Below are 27,240 nucleotides of genomic sequence, written 5' to 3'. Positions count from 1 at the left end.
TTGGCCAGGCTGATCTTGAACTCCTGACCTCGTGATCCGCCAGCCTTGGCCTCCCAAAGTGCTGGGATTACAGGCATAAGCCACTGTGCCTGGCCTTTATTTTTTATTTTTTGAGACAGAGTTTCACTCTGGGATTACAGGTGTGAGCCACTGCACCCGGCCACAAGCACGTTGTATTGATTGTGCACTTTATTTCTATTATTATTATAATATATAATGAGATAATTATACAACTCACCATAATGTAGAATCAGTTGGAGCCCTGAGCTTATTTTCCTGCAACCAGACGGTCCCATCTGGTGGTGATGGGAGACGGTGACAGATCATCAGGCATCAGATTCTCATAAGAAGCACGCAACCTAGATCCCTCACATGTGCCGTTCACAATACGGTTCACTCTCCTATAAGAATCCAATGCCATGGCTGATCAGACAGGAGGCAGAGCTTGGGCAGTAATGCGAGCAATGGGGAGTGACTGTAAATACAGATGAAGCTTCGCTCGCTTGCCAGTCACTCACCTCCTGCTGTGCAGGCCAGTTCCTAATAGGACACACGGGGCTGGGAACCCCTGCCCTAGAGCCTCCAGAGGGCTATGCCCAGTGGACACCCTGATTTCAGCCTGGTGACCCTGATCTCGGATGTGTGGCCTGCAGAGCTGTGAGAGGATGGCTGGGCGTTGTTGTGACCCAGCCAGCTTGTGGCCACTCGTTACAGCAGCTGCAGGAAACTGATGCAGCGCCACAGACGGAGCCAGGGCTCAGCTCACTGGAGTTGCTTTCTGTTATTCTATTTCTTCCTAAAACATTGTGTTAAGCCAACCACTAACAACCACTGACTCCGATGGGCAGGAATCGCAGAGGTTTCTTGGTTTGTTTCTTTAATCCCTTTTCCAATTTTGAAATAATATTCCTTGTTGGTTTTTCTGATTATAAATGTAATATCTTTCTTTGTATTGAGTTTAGAAACAAGAGAAAAAGTAAAAAGCAGAAACCCCAGCTGGGCAAGGTGGCACGTGCCTGTAATCTCAGCACTTTGGGAGGCTGCGGCGGAAGGATTGCTTGAAGCCAGGAGTTCGAGGCTGCTGTGAGCTATAATTGCACTACTGCACCCTGGCTGGGTAAAAAGAGTGAGACCCTGTCTCAAATTAAAAAAAAAAAAAAAGAAGAGGAAGAAAACCCATTAACCTCACTCGAGACTCTCCATACGAACTCCTGCTGTGGGGCAGGGAAGCCCAGGAAGGCCCCACGAGGCTCTGACCCAGCCTGGCTGGCGGTGGGAACTTGGGAACAGCCCCGAGTGAGGGGCCGGGCTATGACTGAGTTCATTCACCCAGCCACCTCCTGCACGCTGTGCACACTATGGGTTTGACGGCCAGGGCTGGAGCACTTGCTGAGCACAGCCTTGACCCTCAGTTTTACCCAGCATGGTTTGGCCTGAGGTCCATCTCCCCTCCGTGCCTGAAAATCCAAACATTTTGGCCCAGGCGGGGGATCACTTGAAATGGAAAACCTGGCAGCACCGATTGGCTCTGAAGAGGCAGGAGTTAGTCATGAGCCGGCTGGGAGGCGAGTGCAGAGGTGGTGAGGTAAGGCCAGCAGAGGGTGGGGGAGGCGAGGGCCAACCTCTCACCGCGCATGGTGTAAGCACTAAGGGGGCACTTCACCAGGCCAGTGCAGACCCAGGCCCCTGCGGTGGATCCCCCGCGGTCCCTCCCTCCAGAGGAACACTGAAGAGGTTTCTGTGGTCCTGTCTTAGATTCAGAGGCACATTTGCATACTAAACGCACTGAGTAATCCTACAGTGAGGGAGCCGGGCTTGGTTTAACCCACCTTTTCCCAAATTGGACCAAAGGTTGCTGTCCCAGGAAGGCAGGGCCCTCAGGCCCACGGCTTTGGGAAACTCTGGTTGTGCCAGCCTATGAGCCCAGCTCCCAGCCACCCCAGCCTGCCCACACCCTGGAGTGGGCACTGTTACCCAAAAGCCCCTTCCAGACAGTTCTCAGGGCGGCATCCCTGTCCTTCACCCCCCATAGACCCCTGGCCACTTTTCTGCGACATCAGCATCACTGGTTCACAGCTCCTCTTAATTGCAAAGTGGGGCTCAGCGGCACAGGCTGGGCCTGGCAGGGCGGGAAGGAAGAGCGAAGGCCACTTTGTCTCCAATAGCACTGGCCGGGCTCTGGAAAGGCCGGAACCCACAGACAGGAAGGAAGTGTCACACTCACTCAACCTGCTTTGCGTCAGCCAGGGGGCATCTTGTAGAAAGAAGTTAGGTGGTCGTGGCCGGGTGCAGTGGCTCATGCCTGTAATCCCAGCACTTTGGGAGGCCGAGGCAGGTGGATCACAAGGTCAGGGGTTCCAGACCAGCCTGACCAACATGGTGAAACCCCGTCTCTACTAAAAATACAAAAATTAGCTGGGCATGGTGGCGCATGCCTGTAATCCCAGCTATTCAGAAGGCTGAGGCAGGAGAATTGCTTGAACCTGGGAGGTGGAGGTTGCAGTGAGCCTAGATCACGCCACTGCACTCCAGCCTGGGCGACAGCGCGAGATTCCATCTCAAAAAAAAAAAAAAGAAGTTAGGTGGTCATTCTTCAGTCTCTGGCTTGGCCTAGGAACTGCTTCTTTTTCAAGATGCTATCAAATGCCTCCTCCATTAGGAAGCCTTCCCTGGTTGCCCCCTCCACTCCTGTCCTTGCCCCAGAACACGGCCCGGCCCTCACGGACAATCCTGACATCAGAGCCTAATAGAGATTTTCCTCTTCATGGAAATTCATACTCCAAACTGAATATGTGTGCAGGATAAGCCCCTGTTCCCATGTGAAACAAAAGTGAAAGGTGCGGATCACCTGCCTTTCCCCACCCCTTCTCACAACAATCTGGGCTCCACAGGGGCCCAGTAGGAGCCAGGTCCAGTTCAGCCGCCCCAGGTGCACCATCCTGGGCACCAGCGCCTCTGTCCCCTTCCACGAAGCACAGCTTCATCCCCTGGTACCCAGTGGGGAGGGGACACATACCAGGCATTCCCCAGGGTGGACTGTGCTCCCCACACCAGGCCAGGAGGCCCTGGGGCTGGTCCAGCCATCCAGAAAAGGGAGCAGGCGGTCCAGGTGACACTGATGTGGGCAGCAGGGGCCTTCGGGAAAGGGTCTTCGTAGGATCGGCCCCACCTTGCTCCAGGAGTACACACTGGGGAAGGGTGCTGCGCGGAGGTGGAGAGAACGCATCTTTGGCTGAAAGCATGCTTTCTGATGCTCTGGGCTCGGATTTGCTGCCATCTTCCATGTCCCCTCACCTAACACACGTTCCAGTAAATCCTCCATGCTGATGAGCGCCAAGCTATAGAGGACGCACAACCTCTCGCTTTAAAAAGTGACTTTTCCTGCTGGGTGTGGTGGCTCACACCTGTAATTCCAACACTTTGGGAGGCCAAAGTGGGAGGATCACTTGAGGCCAAGAGTTCAAGACCAGCCTGGGCAACATAGAGAAATCCCATCTCTACAAAAAAAAAAAAAAAAAAAAAAAGTCCAGGCACAGTGGCTCATGCCTGTAATCCCAGCTACTTGGGAGGCTGAGGCAGGAGAATCACTTGAACCTGGGAGGCAGAGATTGCAGTGAGCCAAGATCATGCCACTGCACTCCAGCCTGGGCAACAGAGCAAGACTCCACCTCAAAAAAAAAAAAAATTTTTTTTTTTGAAACAGGGCCTTACTCCCTTTGCCCAGGCTGGAGGACAGTGACGTGATCACAACTCACTGCAGCCTCAGCTTCCCGGGTAGCTGGAACTACAGGGCTGTACCACCACGCCCAGCTAACTTTTTGTATTTTTAGTCAAGACGGGGTCTCGTCATGTTGCCCAGGCTGGTCTGGAGCACCTGAGCTCAAGTGATCCTCCCACCTCGGCTCCAAAAGTACTGGGATTACAGGCATGGGTCACCATGCCTAGCCTGAAAACATTTCTTTTAAGAATTAGCCAGTCATGGTGGCGCACAACTGTAGTCCCAGCTACTTAGGAGGCTAAGGCAGGAGGATCCCTTGAGCCTGGCAGGTTGAGGCTGCAGTGAGCTATAATTGTGCCACTGCACTCCAGCCTGGGGGACAGAGAAAGACCCTGCCTAGAAAGAAAAAAGAAAAAAAAAAGACTTTTCCATTCATTTCCTGCTCATCCTCAGACTCAACCACTGAAGTTTGCTTCCCTGAATTAAAAATGAAGGAGCTCCGTCCTGGACTCCCTCCTGCTGACCCTGCTACTGTACCTGCCAGCAGAGCCAGCCAAGACCCTCCAGGCTGGCCCCAGCCTGGCCCGCCTACAGCCTCCCAAGCAAGACGGATTCCCAGGCTGAGGCCAGCTGCATTCCTCTCTGGAATCTTTCTCCACTTTTTATTGTGCCTCAGACTTTGGCTGTTCCTAAATAAATACAATCCAGCTATCTCTGCCCTTGGGGCCGCTGCAGGGTTTACTGGTGCAAACCGCCTGGGCAGGCCTGTTGCTTTAGGAGTCCTTCCAGGTCAGCGTGGAAGGAAACCAAGACAACGGGGAGAAGCAGCCCGGTTGGGCCCAATTCCACTCTCACATGCTCGTGCTCAGCCAACCATCTGGGCTGTAGCCTGACAGGAGCTGGAGCTGGCGCTCCATTCCTAGAGGGGGCCCCCGACTGCCCCTGCAGAGCGAGGGAGGTCTGGGGGTGCAGAGGCCAAGGGCCCTTGCAGAGTTTGCCCCAGGTCCCCTGAGTTTAAGCTTCTCTGCAGCCAACGGAAGACTCCCCCGAGAGCGGGTGTCTTTCATCCTGCTTGCTCAGTAGGTGCCCAGTAACCGTTCACTGGATAAACAATGAATTTGTGGATCCAACGTGAAGATGATCTAAACCAGCGCCCCCCCATAGAACTCTCCGCAATGATGTCAATGTTCTGTATCTGCCGTAGTCAATATGGCAGCCACATGTGGCAGTGAACGCTTGCAATGTGGAAGGGCTACCAAGGCAAAGAGTTTCGCATTTATGTTATAATTTAAACTTAAATAGTCACAAATGCCTAGCGTGTGCCCCGTTATACAGACCCTTTTTGTCACCTTCTTCTCCTCCCTAGAGACATTGCATTCGCCATCAATTTCTTACCCGGGAGGCAAACGGAGAAATGCTACTCTTTAGCCAACGCAAAAGAAGGCCAATATTTGCATTTTAAGCTAGTTTTTTGGGCAATTCTCCCAAGCATCTCCTATCAAGGTCAGTCCAGCAATATTTCCTGACTGCCTGCCACGCACCAGGAAAGCATCCCGCCGTGGCTCTGGTCCGAGGCTATGGAGGACACAGAAATAACCAAGGCCAAGCTGATAGAAGGGGTGTGACAAGATGGCCCAAAGTCACTGAGTCAGCTAGGAGGTCCAGGAGCATGGAAGCCCTGCTTTCCAGAGGACAAGTGGCAACCCATCCAGGGGGGGCCCGAGCACTCAGAGCCAGGAGCGCAGAAGCAGGGGGCTCCAGGCTGGAAAGCGGTATCAGGGCCAGGCTGGGCGGCAGCACGAATCCACCCTCGAGGCTTTGGGGGCGGAAACTAAGGGCTCTATGAGTAAGAAGACCCGGCCCAGGTCTAATGGAAATGATCGGGTGGAGGGATCCTATCACCCGGTCCCCAGCACACAGGGAGGGAAGTGGTAATCGTCCTCTAAATGTTGGCCGTGGAGGGGAAGGAGCCACAGCAGGGCAGGGGTGGGGAGGATGGCACCTGCTGGTCCAAGGAGGGATGATGGAGGCCCAACCAAGACATGACCGTGACCGGGGCAGCCTGTCCAAGGGTCAGTATGCAGAGGGCGAGTTGATGAGATCTTGGCAGCCTGTTGAGACCTGGGGGTGCTGGGGAGGCAGAGGTCAAGGTCAACTCTGAGATTTCCTGCTTGCAAACCTGGGTGGGTGGCAAGGCTGATATCAGAGAAATAGAGGAAGAGTGGGTAGCTATGGGTGAGAGAGGAAGTAATGAACTAGGGGTGCCTGCAAGAGCCCAGGGGCAAGGTCCTCGGGCAGCCAAGATGCTGGTGGTCTCTTCCACGACCAGCTCCCTCCACGTGGCACACTTTTGTCTGCATGGCTGGGCATGGGGCACCTGTTCGTCCGACACACTTTGAGCAGCTACTCTGTGCATTGAGGCAACGTGGCACGGTGCCCTGGGGAAATAGCGAGGAGGCACTGCACAGGCCCCACCCTTCTGGCATTTTCTGTCTCCTGGGGATGGTGGCAGTTAAATAAGTGACAGCCAATTGTCAGGAGAGTTTGGCTCTGATTCACCAGGTGGAGCCAGGCACTCCTGCCGGAAGAGGCATGGGAACTAGCATAGGATGAAGGGAGGCAGCGAGCACCAGCCCAGGCCTTGCCCCCACAGGGCCCTTTTTTCACACCTACTTGTGCAGGCGTCCCCTGTGAGGGCAGAGACACCTGCAGTGCTTGAGGGAGACTTCCTGCGGGCGGGGTCGTCCATCCACAGCGGCCAGGTGGGAGGTGCATCAGTGTCCTGTGGCTGCCATAATGGACCACAGCTGTGGGGCTTGAAAAAATGGAAGCGGGTTCTCTCCCATGCTGGAGGCCAGAGGTCCAAAATCAAGGTGTCAGCAAGGCCACACTCCCTAGGGAGGCTCTGGGGTGGGGTGGGGGGGGGGTCCTTCCTTGCCTCTTCCCAGACGCTCCCTGGCCTGGGGCTGCGTCACTCCATCATCTGCTCCTGCCTTCACGTGGCTCTCCCCGGTGTGTCTGTGGCCTCTCTGCTTCTTTTAAGGACACCAGTTGTTGGATTTAGGGCCCACCCTAATCCAGAATGACCTCATCTCAAGATCCTTAACTACTTACATCTGCAAAGACCCCATCTCCAACTCCCAGGTCACATTCTGAGGTTTTTGGTGGACATGAGTTTGTGGGGGACACGGTTCAACCTAGGACAGAAGGGATGATGGGGGCACTGGGGAAAAGGCCACACACCCCAGAGGTATTGGAAGATGGAAGAGCAGGACCTAGCGACACGGGATGTCAGGCAGAGGAGTTGGCTCCAAGGATCCCAGCCGGGGTCTGAGGGCCAGAGGGAGGGAAGCTCAGGCACCACTGAGATGAAATGCTCCGTGCACCGTGGGAAACAGGGCAAAAGTCCGCTGGACGCTCAGTCAGAGAGGCGGCTGCCTGAGGCACAGAAAATGAGCGAACATGGGAGAGCCTACCAGAAGGCCACTCGGGAGGGCGTGGTGGTAACATCTAGAAGGGCTGAGAAGCGCATCTCCACAGCCCAGCCAAATCCACCTGGGGAAACACACGTTCCCGGCAGCACTAGTAACAGAGAAGACCTTCGGCGATGTCACCAGTGGGCCACGGGACGGGCAAACTCTGCCTCCCCACACAGAGGAACACTCGCTAGCTGCCAAAATAAGTGAACCAAGGCTTCGTGGATCTACACGGATAAGTCTCCACGCCGTCACGTTGTGGGCACAGGCAGGGCAGCCACTGACTCCAGTGAGGCACCAAGGATGTGATGCTGATGACGGCATTCAAGAGGAGACAGACCTAGGCTGCTCAGTCACACGATGCTGATGACCGTATGCAAGAGGAGACCAGGCCGGATGCGGTGGCTCACACCTATAATCCCAGCACTTTGGGAGGCCAAGGCAGGTGGATCACCTGAGGTCAGGGGTATGAGACCAGCCTGACCAACATGGTGAAACCCTGTGTCTACTAAAAATACAAAAAAAATTAGCCAGACATGGTGGCGGGTGCCTGTAATCCTGGCTACTGAGGAGGCTGAGGCAGAAGAATCGCTTGAACCCAGGAGGCAGAGGTTGCAGTGAGCCGAGATGGTGCCACTGCACTCCAGCCTGGGCGATAGAGCGAGACTCTATCTCAAAAAAAAAAAAAAGGAGACCTAGGCTTCTCAGACACACCACTGCCCAGCACAGATGTGCCTGCCCGGGGCCAGATCCCAATCCAGAGGGGCGGGCACCGCAGCAGGAGTGGGGCTAGGATGGAGAAGGTCACCCAGGGCTGCGGCTACACCTGCAATGTCTCACTTCTTAAGCGGGATGGTGAGTACACAGGTGTTTTATTACCTTATTCTTTACATTTTTGTTTTGTAGCTCTAAGAATTCCATTTTTTTTTTAAAAGGAAAGAAAGTGTGTGAGCTGACCAAAGCGTTGATCATGGTGTCATTTAAGCTTTTGCCAGAAATGTCATCCCTGGCCCAGTCCCAAACACAACCTCGAGAAGAGCCTTCGTCCTTCTGGGGAGGGCAAGAGTCCCAGACATAGGAGATTGGCCAGATGTGGATCTACAGAGAAGCTGGGCTGGGAGGATGGGATGGCAGACAGTCGTCTGGGGAGTGTCAAATGGGGAGGCCGGAGATGCTGGGGCGTCTAGGAATGAACTCCTGCCTGGACCAGGGTCTTAGCAAAAGGGAGGCAGGGAGAAAGAAAGAAGCCAAGAAGATGAGGAAAGGGTGTCTCGGGCCAGAGCCCACAGAGGCCCACAGAGGGAGGACCCCGTGTGTCAGCAGGCAGTCCCACGCAAACCCAGATCACCAGCTTGCAGCTTTGGGATTCAGCAAATTATGCCTTAGGCTTCCAAGCTGAGCTGTGATCGTGGCTGCCAAGTGCTGACAGCACAGAACCAGCCAGTCTGAGCAGAGGGAAGCAACCGCCGGGGGAGGCTGTGTCCATGCAGCCCAGGGTGCCAGGTTCCCAAGATGCAACCCCCACAAGAACTGGGGGACCCTCCCCACCCATTCCACCAGAAGCTGGCCAATGAGAGGGAAGGAGATGGAGAGGCAGATCAGATGCGGAGCCGGAGAAAAGCTCCCCAGAAACACAGCAGCGGCTGGGCTGTCCAGTGGTTAGTGCCCAACATGACTGCGATGGGCGGAGCCCCTCTTAACCACAGCGCTGAATCATGCAGCTGCCCAGGGGCCTCCAGCCAGAGCATCACCCCCCTCTTCCCACATACAGTCCCATCCTGTACTGCAAGGGGCCTCACATGCACTCAATGTGGACACGGCATCCCCTCCACTCCCACTCCCTGTAAAAAGCCACCCTCTCCACTGTCCAGGCCTGGTGGTGCACAGTCCACGGGCACTGCATCCACCTCTGGAAGGCAGACTTAGGAGGCGTCTGTGCTGTCCCCACAGAAGCAAGCTCAGGATCAGAAGCAGGCTTTGGGTCTAGAATTCTGAGGTCTCAGGTGCCAGTGTGGTCTGGAACTGTTCAGTTTCATAGCCACTAGCCACACGTAGATATAAGTGGAAATCCATTTAAAATAAATAAATAATTCTATGCAAGTAAATGAGTGAATAAAGTAAACGTAAACATTTATACTTTGAGTGTGCAATAGACCCAGGCGGCTAAGCGGCTACCATACAGGATGGCGGAGTGCAGATGTATAGAACAGACCCACCATCACAGAAGGTTCTATTAGACGGAGCTGGTCTAGAGCATGGAGGTGGCGGCTCCAGATGGGCACATGCCCTTGCCCCCGTAGGCGCCTTGTCCTGGCAGGACGGCTGTCTCACCTTGTTCTGAAGGCAGCCCTGGTCCACAGGCGCTCTATTTGTGTGGATTTGACTCCGGGTCCGTGTCCTTTGGTAACTTTGTCTCCTCTAGAATGGCTAATTCATGAAGGCACAGTCCCTGCCTGTCTGCCACCATGATGGCAGCCAGGGGTCTGGCACCCAGTTGGCCCCCAGCACATATGCACAGGTGACCACGCCATCTCTGCTCTTCTCAGAGCTCCTCGTCTCCTAGGGGAGGTAAGTCCATTCATTGCTGTGACCCATCATCCTCTCCAAATAGAAAAGCCACTAGATGGGCACCTGTCCCAGCCTGGCCGCTGGAAGTGACAGCCAAGAACAACGTAGGCTCCCAGAAACAGAGGCACTAGCATGGCCACACTGGGGTCAGGCAGGGGAGATCAGGGACACCCAGTGGGGAGAAGATGACGCGCAGACTCAGCCCTGGGGGGCAAGGGCTGGAGGCAGAGCCCTGACCTCTCTGTCCCACTCCCTTGCCCAGGCTGCACCCAGTGTTGGTAGAGTCCCTTCAAGCCTATAAGCTGTAACTCGTGTCCTGGACGGCCAGCCCCAGAGCTCTGATGGGTGCATCTGTTTCCCTTCCCTACTGGTTAGTGTGGAAAATTTCCAAACACATGGAAAAAGCACAAGGAGTAGCACAGTGACCACTGCCAGAGGCCCACTTATTTCCTCCTAGATAACACCGGACGTATCTGCTCTATCCTGGAGCATCTTCCATCCTGCAAGGTTGCAGGGAGCCCACAGATACTGAACCAACACCGAGAGGCTCACGGCCAAAGCCACCTGTCCATGGCACATCTGTCCCCTCAGCATCTCAAACCAAATCATCCAGCCCTATCTATCTCCTGTTCTCTCCTCTGTCCCGCACACACGGGCTTGCTCCCTGAGCCTGGGGGTGGCTGCCCCTGCCCCCACAAGGATCATCTCCAGCAGGGCAGCGTCGACAGGCCTGGAAGCCACCTGAGTCCAAAGCCGTCAAAGACTGCGTCTCCCTGGGAAATGGGCAAGTGGCCCCACTCATCCAGGGAAGCCAGGTGGGGAGGCAGGTCCCAGACCAGAATGAAGGGACCCCAGCACAAACACACCCATGAGCTGGGTGGGGCCAGAGCGGAGCGAGCCACCTACCTGGGCCACTGGAGTCACCAAGCCTCCGGAGCCGGCCACTGGAGGTCCGCGTGCCTCCTAAAGACAGAGACAAAGGGCAAAGGTCACACAAGGCCACTGGCGCTCTCCCTCCGGGTGGATGATTAACACCAGGAATGTCCTCGCCTTTGCTCCTGCTGTGAGTTCCAGAGCCAGAAACGGGGCCCATCTGGGGACAGAGGCCCTACTCCCCCAGGTAACCCTGGACGCTGGAGGGATGACAGCCACTGCTGTCTGGCTGCTGGAGGGGCCCTGGGCCAAACCTTCACACACATCCTCCCCCAAGCCCTACTACCCCTGTTTTGCAGATAAGGAATCTGAGTCTCCACAGAGTGTCACTTCCCTGTGGCCACACAGTGAATGAGAGTTGCACACAGGTGAGCCCACGTCCATCAGACTCCAAGCTGGGCTGCACCCAAGCGTGTCTCTGCTGGACGGAGTCTCCTCCTTCCTCCATGTCCACCCGTCTTATGAATCAGGGTTTCCCTACACCAGGGTCTACAACTCACGGGCAGTCCTGACCCAGCCCCCTTCACTCCCAGGGCTGGGTGCAGCCGGGCTGGATTTGGGGATGGAGTGGGACAGGCTATTTTTACCTTTTGCCCCAGGAGGGAACAAAAACAGAACCTCAGATTAATGCAGCCTCCCGCGGCATGCGCTCCCTCTGCCCACACACAGGCCTTGGCCTGGGGCTGCTTGTTGGAGAGGCTCATGGCAGGCAAGTCCTAACTCGAGGAGATTTGCTGAGGTGCTAAGCCAAGCAAACCCGAAAGGCTGCCAGGAGGAGCGGCCCTGGGAGCACAGGCGGCCACCCTATTGCTGTAGAGCACGGCACTCTGGGGATGTCCCCTGGGCAATGCCATACAGCCACCCTTCAGAGAGCTTCAGGGACACATAACCAGCCCAGTCCCACCAACAGTGAGATAAGGGATCAGGCAGACCCAGACACCTCCCTGTATCTGATCACCATGCTGGCTGCTGGTCAAAGATGCCAGTTCCTCCCTGGAACCCTCCAGAAAGGCTCTTGCAGCATCCATCCATCCATCCACCCACTCATTTACTCCATTCACCCATCCATCCATCCATTCACCCATGGACCCCATCCACCCCACCACCCCTCCACACATCCATCCACCCATCCACCCAACCCACCTATTCAGCCCTTCACCCACCCACCCACCCACCAATCCATTCACCTGTCCACCTAATCCACCCATCCATCAACCCATCCACCCATCATCCATCCATCCATCCACCCACCCACCCACCCCCCCACCCACCCACTCATCCTTCCTTCCATCCATTCCACAACCCCACTCCTAAACTGTGACCAGATGGAAATGGGTGCAGCCAGCTTGTTTCTAAAGGCTCAGAGCGGAGGCAGAGTGAACTGCCCATCTGGCCTTCGTGTCCAGCAGCCCAGGCCTGTACACATGTTCCATAACTACAGGACACCAGACTCAGCAACTGGCAGCAGAATGAGCACAGTGTATCCTTCGCGGAACTAGTATTGACAGGGTACCCATCTCTACTAAGCCTGAGCTTCTCTGGTGCTGGAGGGAACCCCCAGATGGGCCCCAATTTTAGTTGAACCCATCCTCCAGGGAAAGCAACACCGTGAGAAATGCGTGTGACACAAGGCTCCAAAGAGGGTGTGGGTCGTGACTCCTGGAGTAACCAGGGAGGCTTCATGGAGGAGATGAGGACAAAGCTGAGCCTTGAAGGAGGGACCGGAGGACGCTGAGCAGGGACACCCACTTCTGCTTGCGAGGGTCTGACGGCAGGCTGTGAGCTGTACCTTAGCTCCGATTCACCCAACCCACAACCCCAGCAGGCAGGTGCTCCCGCCCCATTTCATAGAGGAGGAAGCGAGGCCCAGGGCTGGGCAAACTGCCCAAGGTCGCACAGCTGCGGAATTCACCTCCAGCACCCCCAGCCTGCCCCAGCCATGTCCGTGACCTCACCCAGCATCCTCCTCTTGGTGCCCACTCACTCTGCTCACTGCTAAGCAACAAAAACCCCACCAGGAAAACCCAGGGGTTCCTGGCCAGTCCCTCCAGACAGAAAGGCAGACCTCGGCGCAGATCTCCAGGAAGCAAGGATGGAAGGGCCAGCATCTGCCTCCCAGAAATGACAGCCTCCTTAAGACCAGGAGAGATGGCCCAGAGTGCAGCTCCGGTGGGCTGCCCAGGACCAGGAGGGGAGAGGAGCGGGGAGGAGGATGAACCCCACTCCCAAGGCTGCTGAGTGGCATACAGTGAGCCTGGACCCTCCAGCCCCAGCTGAGCTCACTTCCACGATGGCCATGAGCACCCCCTTCACACACCCGACTGGAAGCCGCACTGCATATAACGCACACGGGGTCACTATCCCCTGTTCCACACATCCCCACGCACACACCATCAGTGCACTACTGGGACATTCTGCTGTCCGGGGCTGAGAGTGAACCAGAACTCTGCCCATAAATCTAGCACACCCCACTGTGGAAACAATGGGGGGTAAGGAGGGGCCGCCCAGCAAAGAACAGGACACACGTTCCTGAGGATGGAGTCACTTCTGGCTGAGACATCTCTGCAGGGGATGCCGGCGACAAAGGCTGCCCTATCCTCCTCCCTGGGCCAGATGGACACCACCCCTGCCTTCTGCCCCCTAGCACCAGGCAAAAGGAAAATAGAAGAGGTTCCATCCAGGTTAAATACCCCAGGGCCTCTTATCCGTAGGAAACATGCTGGCCCACTCTCTCCAAACCCAGCATGGGGGTGGAGAAACGGTGGGGAAAACAGCATCTGTCTCAGATTTCTTGGGTGGAGTTTTTGTTTTATTTACACTGTTTATTTTTCTGATTTCCTAAAATGGGCATCTGGTGCCTGGCAGCCCTTGGCACAGAGAAGACGCAAAGCAAACCGTTCATAAGAAGGGGGCGAGCGCAGCCTGAGCATCCCCTGCTCTTGAACAAATTGCCAGGCTCAGCGCAGCCGCTGCCGCCACTGCTGTTCCCAGGAAGGGACCTCTGGCCACGAGCGGCTCCAGTTCAGCTCCTTGGACCTAATTATTCAGGCCTGTGTCTGAGTCCAGCAAAGAGGTAGCTAGAAAAGTCTCCAAGACATCTAACGATTCCGTGGCTCCAGTTGAGAAGTGAGTTATCTTTATGTGATTTTAAAATAAAACATACTCAGAAGGAGAGAAGACAATTGAAATCTAGCTGTCTGGAGTCATCCCAGATGAAAGTATTTGAGTTTTTGGGAGGCAAAGGAGGCAGGAAAGCCTGGAGTCAGATGATCAGAATTTGAACGCAGACCTCGCCAGGCCCTTGCTGTGGGCCCTGGGAGATGACTTCCATTTCCTGAGTCTCAGCTTCCTTGGGGACAGAGATGGTGCTTACTCATAGGTTGTTCCGAGTCAATGAGGTCACATGGCGCAAGTACTAGCACAGTGCCTGGCACAAAATTAAAACTCAATAAGTGATATTATTATTATTATTATTATTATTACTACTTTTGAGATGGAGTCTTGCTCTGTCACCCAGGTTGGACTGCAGTGGCACGATCTCAGTTCACCGCAACCTCCGCCTCCCAAGTAGCTGAGATTACAGGCACCTGCCATCACGCTCCGGCTAATTTTTGTATATTCGGTAGAGACAGGGTTTCACCACGTTGGCCAGGCTGGTCTCGAACTGACCTCAGGTGATCTGCCTGCCTCAGCCTCCCAAAGTGTTCGGATTACAGGCGTTAGTCACCGTTATCTGGCTGTGATATTATTATAATATCAATATTATAATAGTTGGCCAGGCATGGTGACTCACGCCTGTAATCCCAGCAATTTGGGAGGCTGACGTGGGCCAGTCACCCGAGGTCAGTTCGAGACCAGCCTGACCAACATAGGGAAACCCCATCTCTACTAAAAATACAAAAATTAGCCGGGCGTGGTGGCATTCGCCTGTAATCCCAGCTACTCGGGAGGCCAAGGCAGGAGAATCGCTTGAACCCAGGAGACGGAGGTTGCAGTGAGCCGAGATCACACCATTGCACTCCAGCCTGGGCGACAGAGCAAGACTCTGTTTCAAAAAATAATAACAATAAATAAATAAAACACACTTTGACGAGATATGGCAAAAGACAGCAGAAGGCAGGAGTCCGGGGACCCACCATGGGCCGGCGTTCCAAGCAGAAAGAAATGCAGTGCTCACAAGCCAGAGAGCAGATGCCGAAGACAGGAGACGAGCGGGGCTCCCTGGTCCTGGAGAGGAAAGGGTGAGCCTAGGCAGAAAGAGCAAACTTAGGGCGCCCTGTGCAGTGTCTTCCTTGTGGAACCAGCTCAGGGCACCAGCAGCACAGCCCCTTTCCAGTAGTGGAGACCAGGTCAACTGCCCAGTGCCCTCCCTGCTCTTTTGCCCCAATTCCACCAAGTACAGCCCCTCTTTGGGCACAGCAGCTTTGCAGGGGTGGACACTGACCCATGTATCTAGGAGCCCAGAGGCTTCTCTCCCTTTATTTATTTATTTAGAGATGGAGTCTTTTTCTGTCGCCCAGGCTGGAGTGCAGTGGCACCAACTTGGCTCACTGCAACCTCTACCTCCCAGGTTCAAGTGATTCTCCTGCCTCAACCTCCTGCGTAGCTGGGATTACAAGCATGCACTACCACGCCCGGCTAATTTTTGTATTTTTAGTAGAGATGGGGTTTCACCATGTTGGCCAGGCTGGTCTCGAACTCCTGACCTTGTGATCCTCCCACCTTGGCCTCCCAAAGTGCTGGGATTACAGACGTGAGCCACCACGCCCGGCCAGGGGCTTCTCTTAATGGACTTTCCCCAATGCATATAATTTGGGGAACCTAGATATAAGAAAGACATAGAGCATGAAGGTCTTTTATTGGTTTGTTTATTTTCAGAGGTGGGGTCTCAGGTGGCCCAGGCTGGTCTCAAACTCCTGGTCTCAAGCAATCCTCCTGCCTTGGCCTCACGCTGGGATTACAGGCACAAGCCACCACGCCCAGCTATTTTTTCTTTTACCTGGGTTGTTATGCTAGAATCTGGCAAGTCACAAGATGGAAATGTTTAAACAGGCACTCAGAATCTGAGCAGACACTATTTGATGTATCATTGTTGTTACTTTAATGATTGAAATGCACCCACCACACCCGCCTTCTCAAAGGTCATTTCAGATCCTTACAGACCCCACCTGTGATGTAAGACAGCCACTCCAAACCCCTCTGTGGGCTCGAATAGACCAGACTTCTGAACCCCTGGGCAGAGCAGGGATGGGGCTGTCTCAGAGGAGGGTGACACCGCCACACCCCTGCTCTGCCTTTGTGCTGACAATGAATGAGGCCTGGACAGTCTCTCCTCTATCAAAAGTCACATTTTCTCAAAAAGGAGCTTTTTAGGATGAGGCGTTATGACAATTCAATTGTGCATAAACATCCATTTTCAATAATGACAGAAGTCATCTACAGAAAAGAATCTATTCCTGGCCGGGCACGGTGGCTCAGGCCTGTAATCCCAGCACTTTGAGAGGCCAAGGCAGGCAAATCATCTGAGGTCCGGAGTTCGAGATCAGCCTGACCAACATGGTGAAACCCCGTCTCTAATGAAAATACAAAATCAGCCTGCATGTTTGTAATCCCAGCTACTCAGGAAGCTGAGGCAGAAGAAGCACTTGAGCCCGAGAGGCGGAGGTTGCAGTGAGCCGAGATCGTGCCATTGCACTCCAGCCTGGGTGACAGAGCGAAACTCTTTCTCAAAACACACACACACACACACACACACACACACACACACACACACACAAATCTATTCCCATTTTTTTTCTTGAAACTCCTGAGAGAGGCCAGGTGCAGTGGCTCACACCTGTAACCTCAGCAGTTTGGGAGGCTGAGGTGGGAGGATGGCTTGAGGCTAGGAGTTGGAGATCAGCCTGGGCAACACAGCAAGACCCCATCTCTATTAAAAAATAATAAAAGTTTAAAAAGCTCTTGAGATAGCCCCTGGGGAAAGGTGGGTCATGGAGACCCTCATCCTGGTCATCCGTGCCTCCCCCGTTTGTTTCCCTGTGGCTCCTTCCCACTTTGAGCCTGGGGTGGGGGCGGTTTGAGCCTAGGATGGGGGTGGTTTGAGCCTGGGGTGGGAGCGGTTTGAGCCTGGGATAGGGCGGTTTGAGCTGGGGTGGGGGCGCTTTAAGCCTGGGTTGCGGGCACTTTGAGCCTGGGGTGGGGATGCTTTGAGCCTGGGGTGGGGGTGCTTTGAGCCTGGGTTGAGGGTGGTTTGAGCCTGTGTTGGGGGTGGTTTGAGCTGGGATGGGGGCGGTTTGAGCTGGGATGGGGGCGGTTTGAGCCTGGGGTGGGGGCGCTTTGAGCCTGGGATGGGGGCACTTTGAGCCTGGGATGGGGGCGCTTTGAGCTGGGATGGGGGCGCTTTGAGCCTGGGATGGGGGCGGTTTGAGCTGGGATGGGGGCGGTTTGAGCCTGGGGTGGGGGCGGTTTGAGCCTGGGGTGGGGGCGTCCAGGATGCACAGGCTTCACTCCCTTTTTCTGAGGCTCAGTTTGCTCACAGGAGCTGTGAAGGGCTGGATCAAAGTCAAAGGTTTAAATTCCAGACTTATCTCCAGACTTAGTGGACAACTAAAATACTCAAGCTTATCTCCAAAGGAAGCTGAGATAAGGAGATAATGGCCACCTCCCTCTTCTCCTCCCCTCTGTCCTTGGCCTCTGCTACCTGGAGTTGTGTCCTGAAGAGGTACACTGGGCACCAGGCCCTCCTGGCCTTGCCCCCACCCCCTGCCTAGACACAGAACAACCTTTCCCCACCCTCAAGGCTGACACGTGGGGCTGTGGATCAAAGTCAATTTATTCATCCATGAGGGGAGCAACCTCCTTGCCTTAGGAACTTGCTCCTACAGGAGAATAAACACTGTAGAAGGCATTGTTCTCAGTGGTGGTGCACGCCTGTAATCTCAGCTACTCAGGAGGCTGAGGCAGAAGAATTGCTAGAACCCAGGAGGTGGAGGCTGCAGTGAGCCAACATCATGCCACTGCACTCCAACCTGGGTGAAAAGACCAAGACTCTGTCTCAAAACAAAAAAAGAACAGCACCCTGTGTCAAGGTCAGGGGTCTCAGCCATCCTCCCTGTGAAGCGGAAGGGGCACCACCAGCTCCTGTGAGAAGGAAACAGTCTACCCAACTACAAAATGCCAACCAAAGGAGGCAGCACACTGGTTCTGGTGCGGTGCCGTTGGCCTCTGTTTGGGGTAGGAGGAGGGCTGGGGGAGAGCCAAAAGCCAAAGAAGGCCCATGGAGGCCGCCCCTCTCTTGGTGACCAGCCCCTCTCTTGACGGCAAGCTGCCAACAGTATCTGGCTCCCAGGCTGGGGAAGGTGAGATCAGCTCATACCTGCCCAGGGCCTTGCTCTGCCTGCATGGGCAGCAGGCGTCCACCTTGCCAGATGGCCCTGCTCATCACAGGGCATCAGTGCCAGCCAAGGACCCACAGAGCCTCCCTGCAAAGGCTTACCAGTGGGCATTGGGACTCTGGGTCTCACCTATATAGGGTTCTCATATAAAATACAGGATGCTCAGTTAAACCTGGATTTCAGATAAACAATCAACAATTTTTTGAAGAGATAAGGATCTTGCTGCTTCACCCAAGCTGGAGCTCAGTGGCATGATCATGGCTCACTGTAACCTTGAACTCCTGGACTCAAGCAATTCTCCAACTGTAGCCTCCCAAAGCACTGGGATTGTAGGCATGAGCTACTAAGGCCAGCAAACAATGAATCATTTTTAGGCATAAGTATATCCCAAGTCTGTTGTGGGATATGCTTATACTAAAAATTAATCCTTGTTTATCTGAAATTCAAACTGAATTCATTGTCGGGGGAGATAATGGAGTGATGGATTGACAGAGGAGCACAGAGACAGCTTTTTTAAATTCTTAGCTGACCAAAGCCTGGCCTTTAGCTCCCTTGGGCCTCCAGAGATGCACTAAGGGTGGAAGCGACCAGGAGGGAGATAAAAACACTGAAGTCTGAGTGTTAGCACTGAGCCGTGTGGCCTTGGACAGGACTGCCCTTCTCCTGAGCCTCAGCTTCACATGCCACAACTGGCCAATAATAGCTACAAAGTATCCGAAGCCAATGGCTGGGAGCCTGCTCCAGGAGGTAGGTATCATCAGGATGCAGAGAGAGTGAGGAGCTTTTAAAGCCAGCCTAGGCCAGGCACAGCAGCTCATGCCTGTAATCCCAGCACTTTGAGAGGCTGAGGCGAGAGAATCACTTGAGCCCAGAAGTTCAAGGCTGCAGTGAGTTGCAATTGCACCGCTGCACTCCAGGCTGAATGACAGAGCCTTTGTTTCCAAAATAAAATAAAATAAAACAAAACAAAATAATAAAGTCAGCCTGTGTATTGGATTGCATGTTGTTCCAAAGCACCCAAAGTGAGAGAGGCCAGGAAGCAATGAGATGCAGAAAGGCAGGGGGAGGAGGTTCAGAGGCATCAGAGAAGACAGCTGACCCCCATCTCCACATACCCTTGGGGCATCCTGAGCCCCATTCACACACCCAGGTGAGAATCCCTGCACTTGTGAAAGCAACCTGAGGCCGAGAGAACCAACAGGAAACCGTCCCATCTCCCATGTAGGGTTTTCCCATAAACAAGGCTGAGCCGCAGTTCATCACTGCAGCTGAGCTCCCTGCAGCAGCTGCGGTGGGGAAGGCTCCCCAGGAGGTCTGAGTAACCCAGAAACATCCACAGCACACTCCCCAGTCCCCTTAGAGGTTTCTGCTGAGATGAAAGTGTCCTGGCCCGTGGCTAAAGAGTCCAGTACACTGGGCAGCTATAGCTCTCACTACATTGACCTGGTTATCAGGCTCTTATGAACTTAGTGAGGGGAGATGGGTTCCCCAGGGAAGCTTGCTGACTCCCTCACATTGCTGTAAATGCAAAGCCTGGTGACTCCATTATTCCTAGTAATTGTGATGTAGTAATAACAAGAACAGCCATGCTCACCGCCTACTGAAGGCATATGATGAGCCAGACACTGTGCTGGCATATGTGACTTTTGGAGGTAACACATTCTCCTTTAAGGAGGAAATGACTGAGCTTTGGAGGGAGGGTCCTCCATCTGGCCCCAGGCTCCTCTTTGACCTGCGTCTCCCTCCTCCTCCTCGCCTGCTCTACTGCAGCCCCTCTGGCCTCCTTGCTGTTCCTGGAATGCACCAAGCTTGCTTCCAGCCTAGTCCTTGCACTGCTGGCTCCTTCCTGTCTTCCCAATCTCAACTCAGCTGTCATCATCTCTGTGACCCCTCACCACTCATTCCAAAGCAGCCATCAGTCACTTTCTATGCAATCACCTTATCTTAATTCTCACCACAGCTCTTAGTCCTATTTTGATAGTTTCTAGAACTGATGAATTCATTGATTCTGTTTCCTTCTACTGCATGTAAACTCCAAGAAACAAGAGTCCTTGTTTGCTCACTGCTGTGCCCCAGTGCTTGTCACAGCACCTGGCATGCAGCAGGTGCTCAATGAATACATTTTTAAAAGAATGAACGACTGGAAGGAGCCTGAAAGAACGATGGCTTGTGCCAACAGTTCATCTTCAACTTCTTTAGACGGGATGGAGACCATCACCATGCAACCACGATTCTTCTGAGCCTGTGTGGTGGCTGACGGCAGGTGTCAGTTTGGCTGGATTAAGGGATGGCTGGTAACGCATCGCTTCTGGGTGTGTCTGTGAGGGTGTTTCTGGAGGAGATGGGCATGTGAGTTGGTGGGCTGAGTGGTAAAGATCCTCCCTCAATATGGATGACACCATTCCATTGCCAGACAACAAAAAGGCAGAGAAAAGGTGAATTCCCTCTTTCTCCTGGAGGTGGGATGCCTTCCTCTCCTGCCCTTGGACTTAGAACTCCCAGTTCTCCAGCAGTTCCCCAGGCTCTCAAACCTTTGGCCTTAAACTAAGAGTTACATCAACAGCTTCCCAGTCCTGAGGCCTGCAGACTTGGACTGAGCCACGATACTGGCTTTCCTGGGCCTCCAGCTTGCGGACGGCCTTCTGTGGTACATCTTGGCCTCCACAATGGTATGAGCCAATTCCCCTAATAAATTCCTTCCTATCTATCTATCATCTATCTTTCTAACTGTCTATCTGCCTATCTACCCACCCATCCACCATCTATCTTCTATCTATCCATCTATCATCTACCTAATCAATGTATCTATGTCTGCCTGTCCATCGGTCATTTATATCTATTTATCAATTATCTATCTACCTATCATCCATCTGTCATCTATCTAGCTATCTATCCATTCATCTATCTATCTTTTTTTTCTTTTTGAGATGGAGTCTCACTTTGTCGCCTAGGCTGGAGTGCAGTGGCGTGATCTCAGCTCACTGCAACCTCCACCTCCCAGGTTCAAGTGATTCTCGTGCCTCAGCCTCCCGAGTGGCTGGGATTACAGACATGCACCACCACGCCCAGCTAATTTTTCTATTTTTAGTAGAGATGGGGTTTCACCCTGTTAGCCAGGCTGGTCTCAAACTCCTGGCCTCAAGTGATCCACCGGCCTCAGCCTACCAATGTGCTGGTTATTACAGGTAAGAGTCACTGAACCCAACCTATCATCTGTCTGTCTGTCTGTCTGCCTGTCTGTGTCTATCTGCCTGCCTGGCTATCTATCATCTATCTATCCATTTGTCTGCCTGTCTGTTTGCCTGTTTGTGTCTGTCTGTCTCTATCTCTCTGTCTGCTTGTCTATCTAGCCATTTGTCTGCCTGTCTGTCTGTGTCTGCCTGTCTCTCTCTCTCTCTGTCCGCTTGTCTGTCTATCTAGCCATCCATCCATCCATCCATCTCCTATTGGCTGTCTCCCTGGAGAGCCCTGGCTGATGCAGACGGTGCCTTGGTAAGCTCAGGCTGCCATCCAGATTACTGTGGAGGGAGTGACTTAAACAACAGACATGTATTTCTCAGTTTGAGAGGCCCAAAGTCCCGGATCAAGGTGCCGTCAGGGTTAGTTCCCGGCGAGGCCCCTCTTCCTGGCTTGTACCCACCTCCCTGCTGTGTCCTCCGTCATTTTTCCTCTGTTTACAAGTGAGGGGGGAGGAGAGATCTCTGGTGTCTCTCCCTCTTCTTATAAGGACATCAATCCTATTAGATTAGGGTCCTGCCCTATGACTTCATTTAACCTTAATTACCTCCCTAAAAGCCCTATCTTCAATTACAGCTGCATTGGGAGTTAGGGCTTCAACGCAGGAATTCAAGGGGAAGGGCACAGTTTGGTCCACAACAAATGGGAAACCATGTTCATGACCAAACTCCCCAGAAGATATGGTCCATCAGCGTCGCCAATGATTGCAAGCAAAGGCCAGAGAGGAAAGGGGCCTCCGTGGGGTGGGGGGCGGTGGGGGCAGCTGGTGCCGGGAACAAGGTTCCTCTTCCTGTCTAACAGCAGGGAAGTGAGGCCGGCTGCAGATGCCATTTGGGGTGGGAAGAGAGGGGAGCTCCTGTTTGCACATCCTGTGTGGGTCCTGGCCTGATCCCCCTCCGTGCCTCCCACTTCTTGTGCCCTCCTTTGTGTGGGAGAAACGCCGACCTCTGCTGGCTCAGGTGTCCAGGTCCCCAGGCCTGCTGGCTTTGGGCTGGGTTCAACCAACGAGAGGCTTGGGAGGAACCTGGGAGGTGGAAGCAAGGGAGGGCGCGGGAGCTCTCCACCTCCTCTGCCTCAGACAGCTTCTCCAGCAGGAGAGGTGGTCCTCTGTGTAGTTCCAGCTCCTGCCAGAGTCCCACCTTTGTTTGGGCTCCCAGCAGGTGACTCTGGCCCCTGGACTCTGGTCACAGGACTTCCTCCCTCTCATCCCCACCTAGGGGTGGTGGTGGCACCCTGCTGCCAATCTCCAGGTCACCCCCACAATGCTAAGAACCCTCCCTCTACCTGCATGGTTCCCTCTCAAGGCACTGAGAAGGGCCCTAACCACATGTCCACAGGGTCAAACATTTTTTGTAAAATTTACAAAATGGAAAATATTTTCCCTACAATCAATTAACGTCCCCGTTCATTTCCAGTCTTGAGTTCCTGCCCGTCACATTTTCTCTTGTGTGAGGTGGAAACGGAGGCTTGCTGCCACGTGGGGGCTCCTGCTAAGGAGAAGTTGAACTGGAAAGATATTTAGTTTGGCTTTGGTCGGGTTATATTTATGTAGTTCCCATTTATTTCCATGTATAGTTCAGTTACTGCTCGCTATCCCGGTGTGGAAACGGATTCCAGCAATACTCGCTCCACTCACCGTTCCAATTCCACCTACCGCGCAGAATCAAAAATCACAAGACACGAACATATCCTGCGGTGCCTGGCGCCGGAAAAACGTGCGCAGTGGAGAGAAGCAAGATTTGAAATGCACGGGTCCAGAAGCAAATCTGTGGAAAATTACTCCCATCACCAGAGGTGAAGTTGTAAGCAAAGGATTCAGTTCCTTCAATGTGGAGTCAAAACAGAAAAGTCTCTCTGGTCAGAAATACATGCACAAATGCCTCATATGCAGTTAGAAATCTCCCCCATTTTCCTACTTCTTTCTTGATGGGAATCACATTTAAAAAAAAAGAAAAAAACAGGATTTACCAGAATTCCTGTGTATCTTGAACAAAACAATTGTAGCAGCACCACCAACTCCATGTTGACCGCCACTTTTGTATACATCCCAACTACCAAAAATAAAAACAAAATTTGATCAACTAAGGAGATTCATTCGCTTTATTTATTTATTTATTTTTGAGATGGAGTCTCACTCTGTTGCCCAGGCTGGAGTGCAATGGCACGATCTTGGCCCACTGCAACCTCTGCCTCCTGGGTTCAAGCCATTCTCCTGCCTCAGCCTCCCAAGTAGCTGGGATTACAGGCGTGCGTCATCACACCTGGCTAATTTTTTATGTTTTTGGTAGAGATGGGGTTTCACCATGTTGACCAGGCTGGTTTCAAACTCCTGACCTCAAGTGATCCGCCCATCTCAACCTCCCACAGTGCTGGAATTACAGGCGTGAGCCACCACGCCCAGCCTATGTTTTTTTTTGTTGTTTTTTTTTTTTTTTTGAGACATGGTCTCACTCTCTCACCCAGGCTGGAGTGCAGTGGCATGATCACGGCTCACTGCAGCCTCGACCTCCTGGGCTCAAGCAATCCTCCCACCTCAGCCTCCTAAGTAACTGGGACTACAGGTGTATGCCACCATGCCCTGCTAGTTTTTGTATTTTTAGTAGAGACGGGGTTTCGCCACGCTGCCCGGACCGGTCTTGAACTCCTGGCCTCAAGTGATCCACCTGCCTTGGCCTCCCAAAGTGCTGGGATTACAGGCACGAGCCACTGTGTCCAGCCTGATCAGTTTTCTGTTCTCGAAATAGAAAACGATATTACAAAGTCATCATATTGAAGAAGTAATGCCAAAAATGTGGGAGAAATAGAACTTTGGAGATATGACTGACAGTTGACTGGTACTCTTCTGCATGTAGTGATGTTTGTGATATTTAACAGCTGCTTATAATTTATAATTTGCTGTTATTTATTTTCTCATTCTAAATGAATCATTGCATCCATACCTTTAGAGGGCTGTATAAGCCCACACCACTTTGATTTCCTGCTGATTGCCTCTCTGTTCCCTGTCTGGCCTTCACCTCTCCCATCATCTGTGTAACTAGTTCCCCGCCTTTAAGTCCTTCTGTTCTAAATGCTCAAGTGGACCAGGCACTGTGGCTCCCGCCTGTAATCCCAGCACTTTGGGAGGCCCAGGCAGGAGGATCACATAAACCCAGGAGTACAAGACCAACCTGGGCAACATAGTAAGACCTTGTCTTTACACACACACAAAAAATACAAAAATTAGCAAGGCGTGATGGCACATGCCTGTAGCTCCAGTACTTTGGGAGGCTGAGGCAGGAGGATTGCTTGAGGTTGGGAGTTCAGGACCAGCCTGGGCAACAAAGCAAGACCCTGTCTCTACAAAAATAAAAGAAAAAATTAGGCAGGCATATAGTGTGCACCTATAGTCCGAGCTACTTGGGAGGCTGAGAAGGGAGGATCGCTTGAGCTCAGGAGTTCAAGGCTGCCATGAGCTGTGATCACACCACTGCACTTCAGCTTGCGTGACAGAGTGAGACCTTGTCTTGGGAAAAATAAATAAATAAATAAATAAATAAATAAATAAATAAATGCTCAAGCGGTTTCCATTTCCTGGTTAGACCCCATTACATACCCTATGAACAAACCGCATGCATGAGAAAGGTGAGCAGATGAACAGGGCAGGGCCAGGGGGCCAAGGGGAAGATCACAGATCACGTGGAGCGAGACCAGTGGTCAAAAACTGCCAACTACAGCCAGGCCTGGTGGCTTATGAAGGTAATCTCAACGGCCGGGCCTGGTGGCTCATGCCCGTAATCTCAGCACTTTGGGAGGCCGACGCGAGCCTATCACCTGAGGTCAAGAGTTCGAGACCAGCCCGGCCAATGTAGGGAAACCCCGTCTCTACTAAAAATACCAAAATTGGCCAGGCATGGTGGCGGGCGCCTGTAGTCCCAGCTACTTGGGAGGCTGAAGCAGGAGAATTGGTTGAACCCGGGAGGCGGAGGTTGCAGTGAGCTGGGATCTCACCACTGCACTCCAGCCTGGGCGACAGAGCGAGACTCCATCTCAAAAAATTTAAAAAAAAAAAAACAAAAAACTGCAGACTCCAACAAGGAAGAGCCACAGGACGATACCCCAGGATGCGGGAAAAGGCTACGCCAGCCTTGGATCCCTTCTGATTAATGGGCACCCCAGTCACCAAAGGGGTAGATGCGTTTCACTCAACCTTTATCCAGCCATCAGAGTATAACACAGGGATGTGCCATAGACAGAGATGGAGACCAACAGGTAGAGGGGTGATGGGGAGGAAGACTGAGGCAAGAGGAACAAAACGGGGACTGCAGAGGGTAGGTGGCAGGAGCCTGAGGGTTCCAGAAGAAACTGTTGCACAAGTAATGAGTCAGCAGGGTGAGTGACGGCCAGGAGAGGTGGCCCAAGAAAACAAAGAGACATCTCCGGGGGTACAGATGCGTCTTGAGGGGCCGAGGAAGAGATGGGGAAGGGGTGGCTCTGTGGACCCTCGGCATGACTGCCGTGGTGAAAAGGAATCAAAGACCTCGACAAGGGGATGACTTTTCAAACAAGGAAGCCCTGGGCCTTCGCAGGGGGACCAGCAGACTGAGGGCAAACGGCATTCTGTTCATTAAAGTCTTAATAAAATGTCAAGGTAAGAACACTTGTCTGGTTTTGGGGGCAATCCCAGAAATACCAGAAAAGGGACTCATCATGCGCAATCTTTTCTTAATTACCTGGAGAAATGTATGGTTACCTAAGACAGAGAAAGGCAGCCAAAGCAAGTGGAGGCCAGGCACAGTGACTCACGCCTGTACTCCCAGCGCTTTGGGAGGCTGAGGCAGGAGGATCGCTTGAGGCTGGAAATTCAGTACCAGCCTAGGCAACAACAAAACAAGACCCTGTCGCTACAAAAACAAAAACAAAAATTTTTTGAGACGGAGTTTCACTCTCTTTGCCCAGGCTGGAGTGCCGTGGCACGATCTCAGCTCACTGCAACCCCCGCCTCCTAGATTCAAGCAATTCTCCTGCCTCAGCCTCCTGAGTAGCTGGGATTACAGGCATGTGCCACCATGCCCAGCTAATTTTGTAGTTTTAGTAGAGACAGGGTTTCTCCATGTTGGTCAGGCTGGTCTCGAACTCCCGACCTCCTTGGCCTCCCAAAGTGCTAGGATTACAGGCATGAGCCACCGCGCCCGGCTGCTACAAAAATTTTTTAAAAATTAGCCAGGCATGCCAGGCGCGGTGGCTCCCACCTGTAATCCCAGCACTTTGGGAGGCCAAGGCAGGTGGATCACGAGGTCAGGAGTTTGAGACCAGCCTGACCAACATGGTGAAACCCCGTCCCTACTAAAAATACAAAAATTAGCCAGGTGTGGCGGCACATGCCTGTAATCGCAGCTATTCAGGAGGCTGAGGCAGGAGAATTGCTTTAATCCAGGAGCCGGGGGTTGCAGTGAGCCGAGATTGCACCACGGCACTCCAGCCTGGGCAACAGAGTAAGACTCTGTCTCAAAAAAAAAAAAAAAAAAAAAATTAGCCAGGCATGCAGCGCACACCTGTAGTCCCAGCTACTCAGGAGGCTGAGAAGGGAGGACCAATTGAAACTGGGAGGTCGAGACTGGGAGGTCATGATCACGCCACTGCACTCCAACCTGGGCAACACAGCAAGACCCTGTTTAATAATAATAATAATAAATAATGCAAGTGGGTATAAGAATTTATTTATTTATTTATTTATTTATTTATTTATGAGACAGGGTCTCACTCTGTCGCCCAGGCTGGAGTGCACTGGCGCAATCTCGGCTCACTGCAAGCTCCGCCTTCCGGGTTCATGCCATTCTCCTGCCTCAGCCTCCCGAGTAGCTGGGACTACAGGCGCCCGCCACTGCACCCAGCTAATTTTTTGTATTTTTAGTAGAGACGGGGTTTCACCATGGTC

General features: G+C 53.1%; 1 protein-coding gene across 3 annotated transcripts in view, besides 7 other annotated features; it reads right to left on the bottom strand.

The window, feature by feature from the left end:
* Positions 1-27,240, bottom strand: part of SEPTIN9 (septin 9) — a 219,098-nt gene that overhangs the window by 182,731 nt on the left and 9,127 nt on the right. For 2 of the 3 annotated variants that reach the window (NM_001113491.2, NM_001113492.2), the window contains exon 2: positions 10,669-10,725. The exons of the other annotated variant lie outside the window; for it this stretch is intronic. In NM_001113491.2, coding sequence (NP_001106963.1) covers positions 10,669-10,725 — 57 coding nt within the window. The remainder of the gene's footprint in view (positions 1-10,668; positions 10,726-27,240) is intronic. 3 annotated transcript variants of the gene reach the window in all.
* Positions 170-1,005: an enhancer, noted in NCBI's record as "H3K4me1 hESC enhancer chr17:75312943-75313778 (GRCh37/hg19 assembly coordinates)". NCBI's record gives its function as "activates a minimal SCP1, AML or CMV promoter by ChIP-STARR-seq in primed H9 embryonic stem cells {active_cell/tissue: H9 hESC(primed)}" and the evidence as "EXISTENCE:reporter gene assay evidence [ECO:0000049][PMID:30033119]".
* Positions 2,678-3,513: an enhancer, noted in NCBI's record as "H3K27ac-H3K4me1 hESC enhancer chr17:75310435-75311270 (GRCh37/hg19 assembly coordinates)". NCBI's record gives its function as "activates a minimal SCP1, AML or CMV promoter by ChIP-STARR-seq in primed H9 embryonic stem cells {active_cell/tissue: H9 hESC(primed)}" and the evidence as "EXISTENCE:reporter gene assay evidence [ECO:0000049][PMID:30033119]".
* Positions 7,304-7,805: an enhancer, noted in NCBI's record as "H3K4me1 hESC enhancer chr17:75306143-75306644 (GRCh37/hg19 assembly coordinates)". NCBI's record gives its function as "activates a minimal SCP1, AML or CMV promoter by ChIP-STARR-seq in primed H9 embryonic stem cells {active_cell/tissue: H9 hESC(primed)}" and the evidence as "EXISTENCE:reporter gene assay evidence [ECO:0000049][PMID:30033119]".
* Positions 8,686-9,230: an enhancer, noted in NCBI's record as "H3K4me1 hESC enhancer chr17:75304718-75305262 (GRCh37/hg19 assembly coordinates)". NCBI's record gives its function as "activates a minimal SCP1, AML or CMV promoter by ChIP-STARR-seq in naive H9 embryonic stem cells {active_cell/tissue: H9 hESC(naive)}" and the evidence as "EXISTENCE:reporter gene assay evidence [ECO:0000049][PMID:30033119]".
* Positions 10,675-10,819: an enhancer, noted in NCBI's record as "145 bp enhancer 212 fragment used in the MPRA reporter construct; PK_construct_1709". NCBI's record gives its function as "activates an SV40 promoter by MPRA in HepG2 cells {active_cell/tissue: HepG2}" and the evidence as "EXISTENCE:reporter gene assay evidence [ECO:0000049][PMID:23512712]".
* Positions 10,741-10,754: a transcriptional cis regulatory region, noted in NCBI's record as "HNF4 motif; enhancer activity is reduced when this motif is scrambled". NCBI's record gives its function as "necessary for full MPRA enhancer 212 activity {active_cell/tissue: HepG2}" and the evidence as "EXISTENCE:site-directed mutagenesis evidence [ECO:0005528][PMID:23512712]".
* Positions 13,257-14,144: an enhancer, noted in NCBI's record as "H3K4me1 hESC enhancer chr17:75299804-75300691 (GRCh37/hg19 assembly coordinates)". NCBI's record gives its function as "activates a minimal SCP1, AML or CMV promoter by ChIP-STARR-seq in naive H9 embryonic stem cells {active_cell/tissue: H9 hESC(naive)}" and the evidence as "EXISTENCE:reporter gene assay evidence [ECO:0000049][PMID:30033119]".

This window comes from Homo sapiens, chromosome 17 (assembly GCF_000001405.40).
Source record: "Homo sapiens chromosome 17, GRCh38.p14 Primary Assembly".
Lineage (NCBI taxonomy): Eukaryota > Metazoa > Chordata > Mammalia > Primates > Hominidae > Homo > Homo sapiens.
This window is presented reverse-complemented; position numbering and strand designations above follow the sequence as displayed.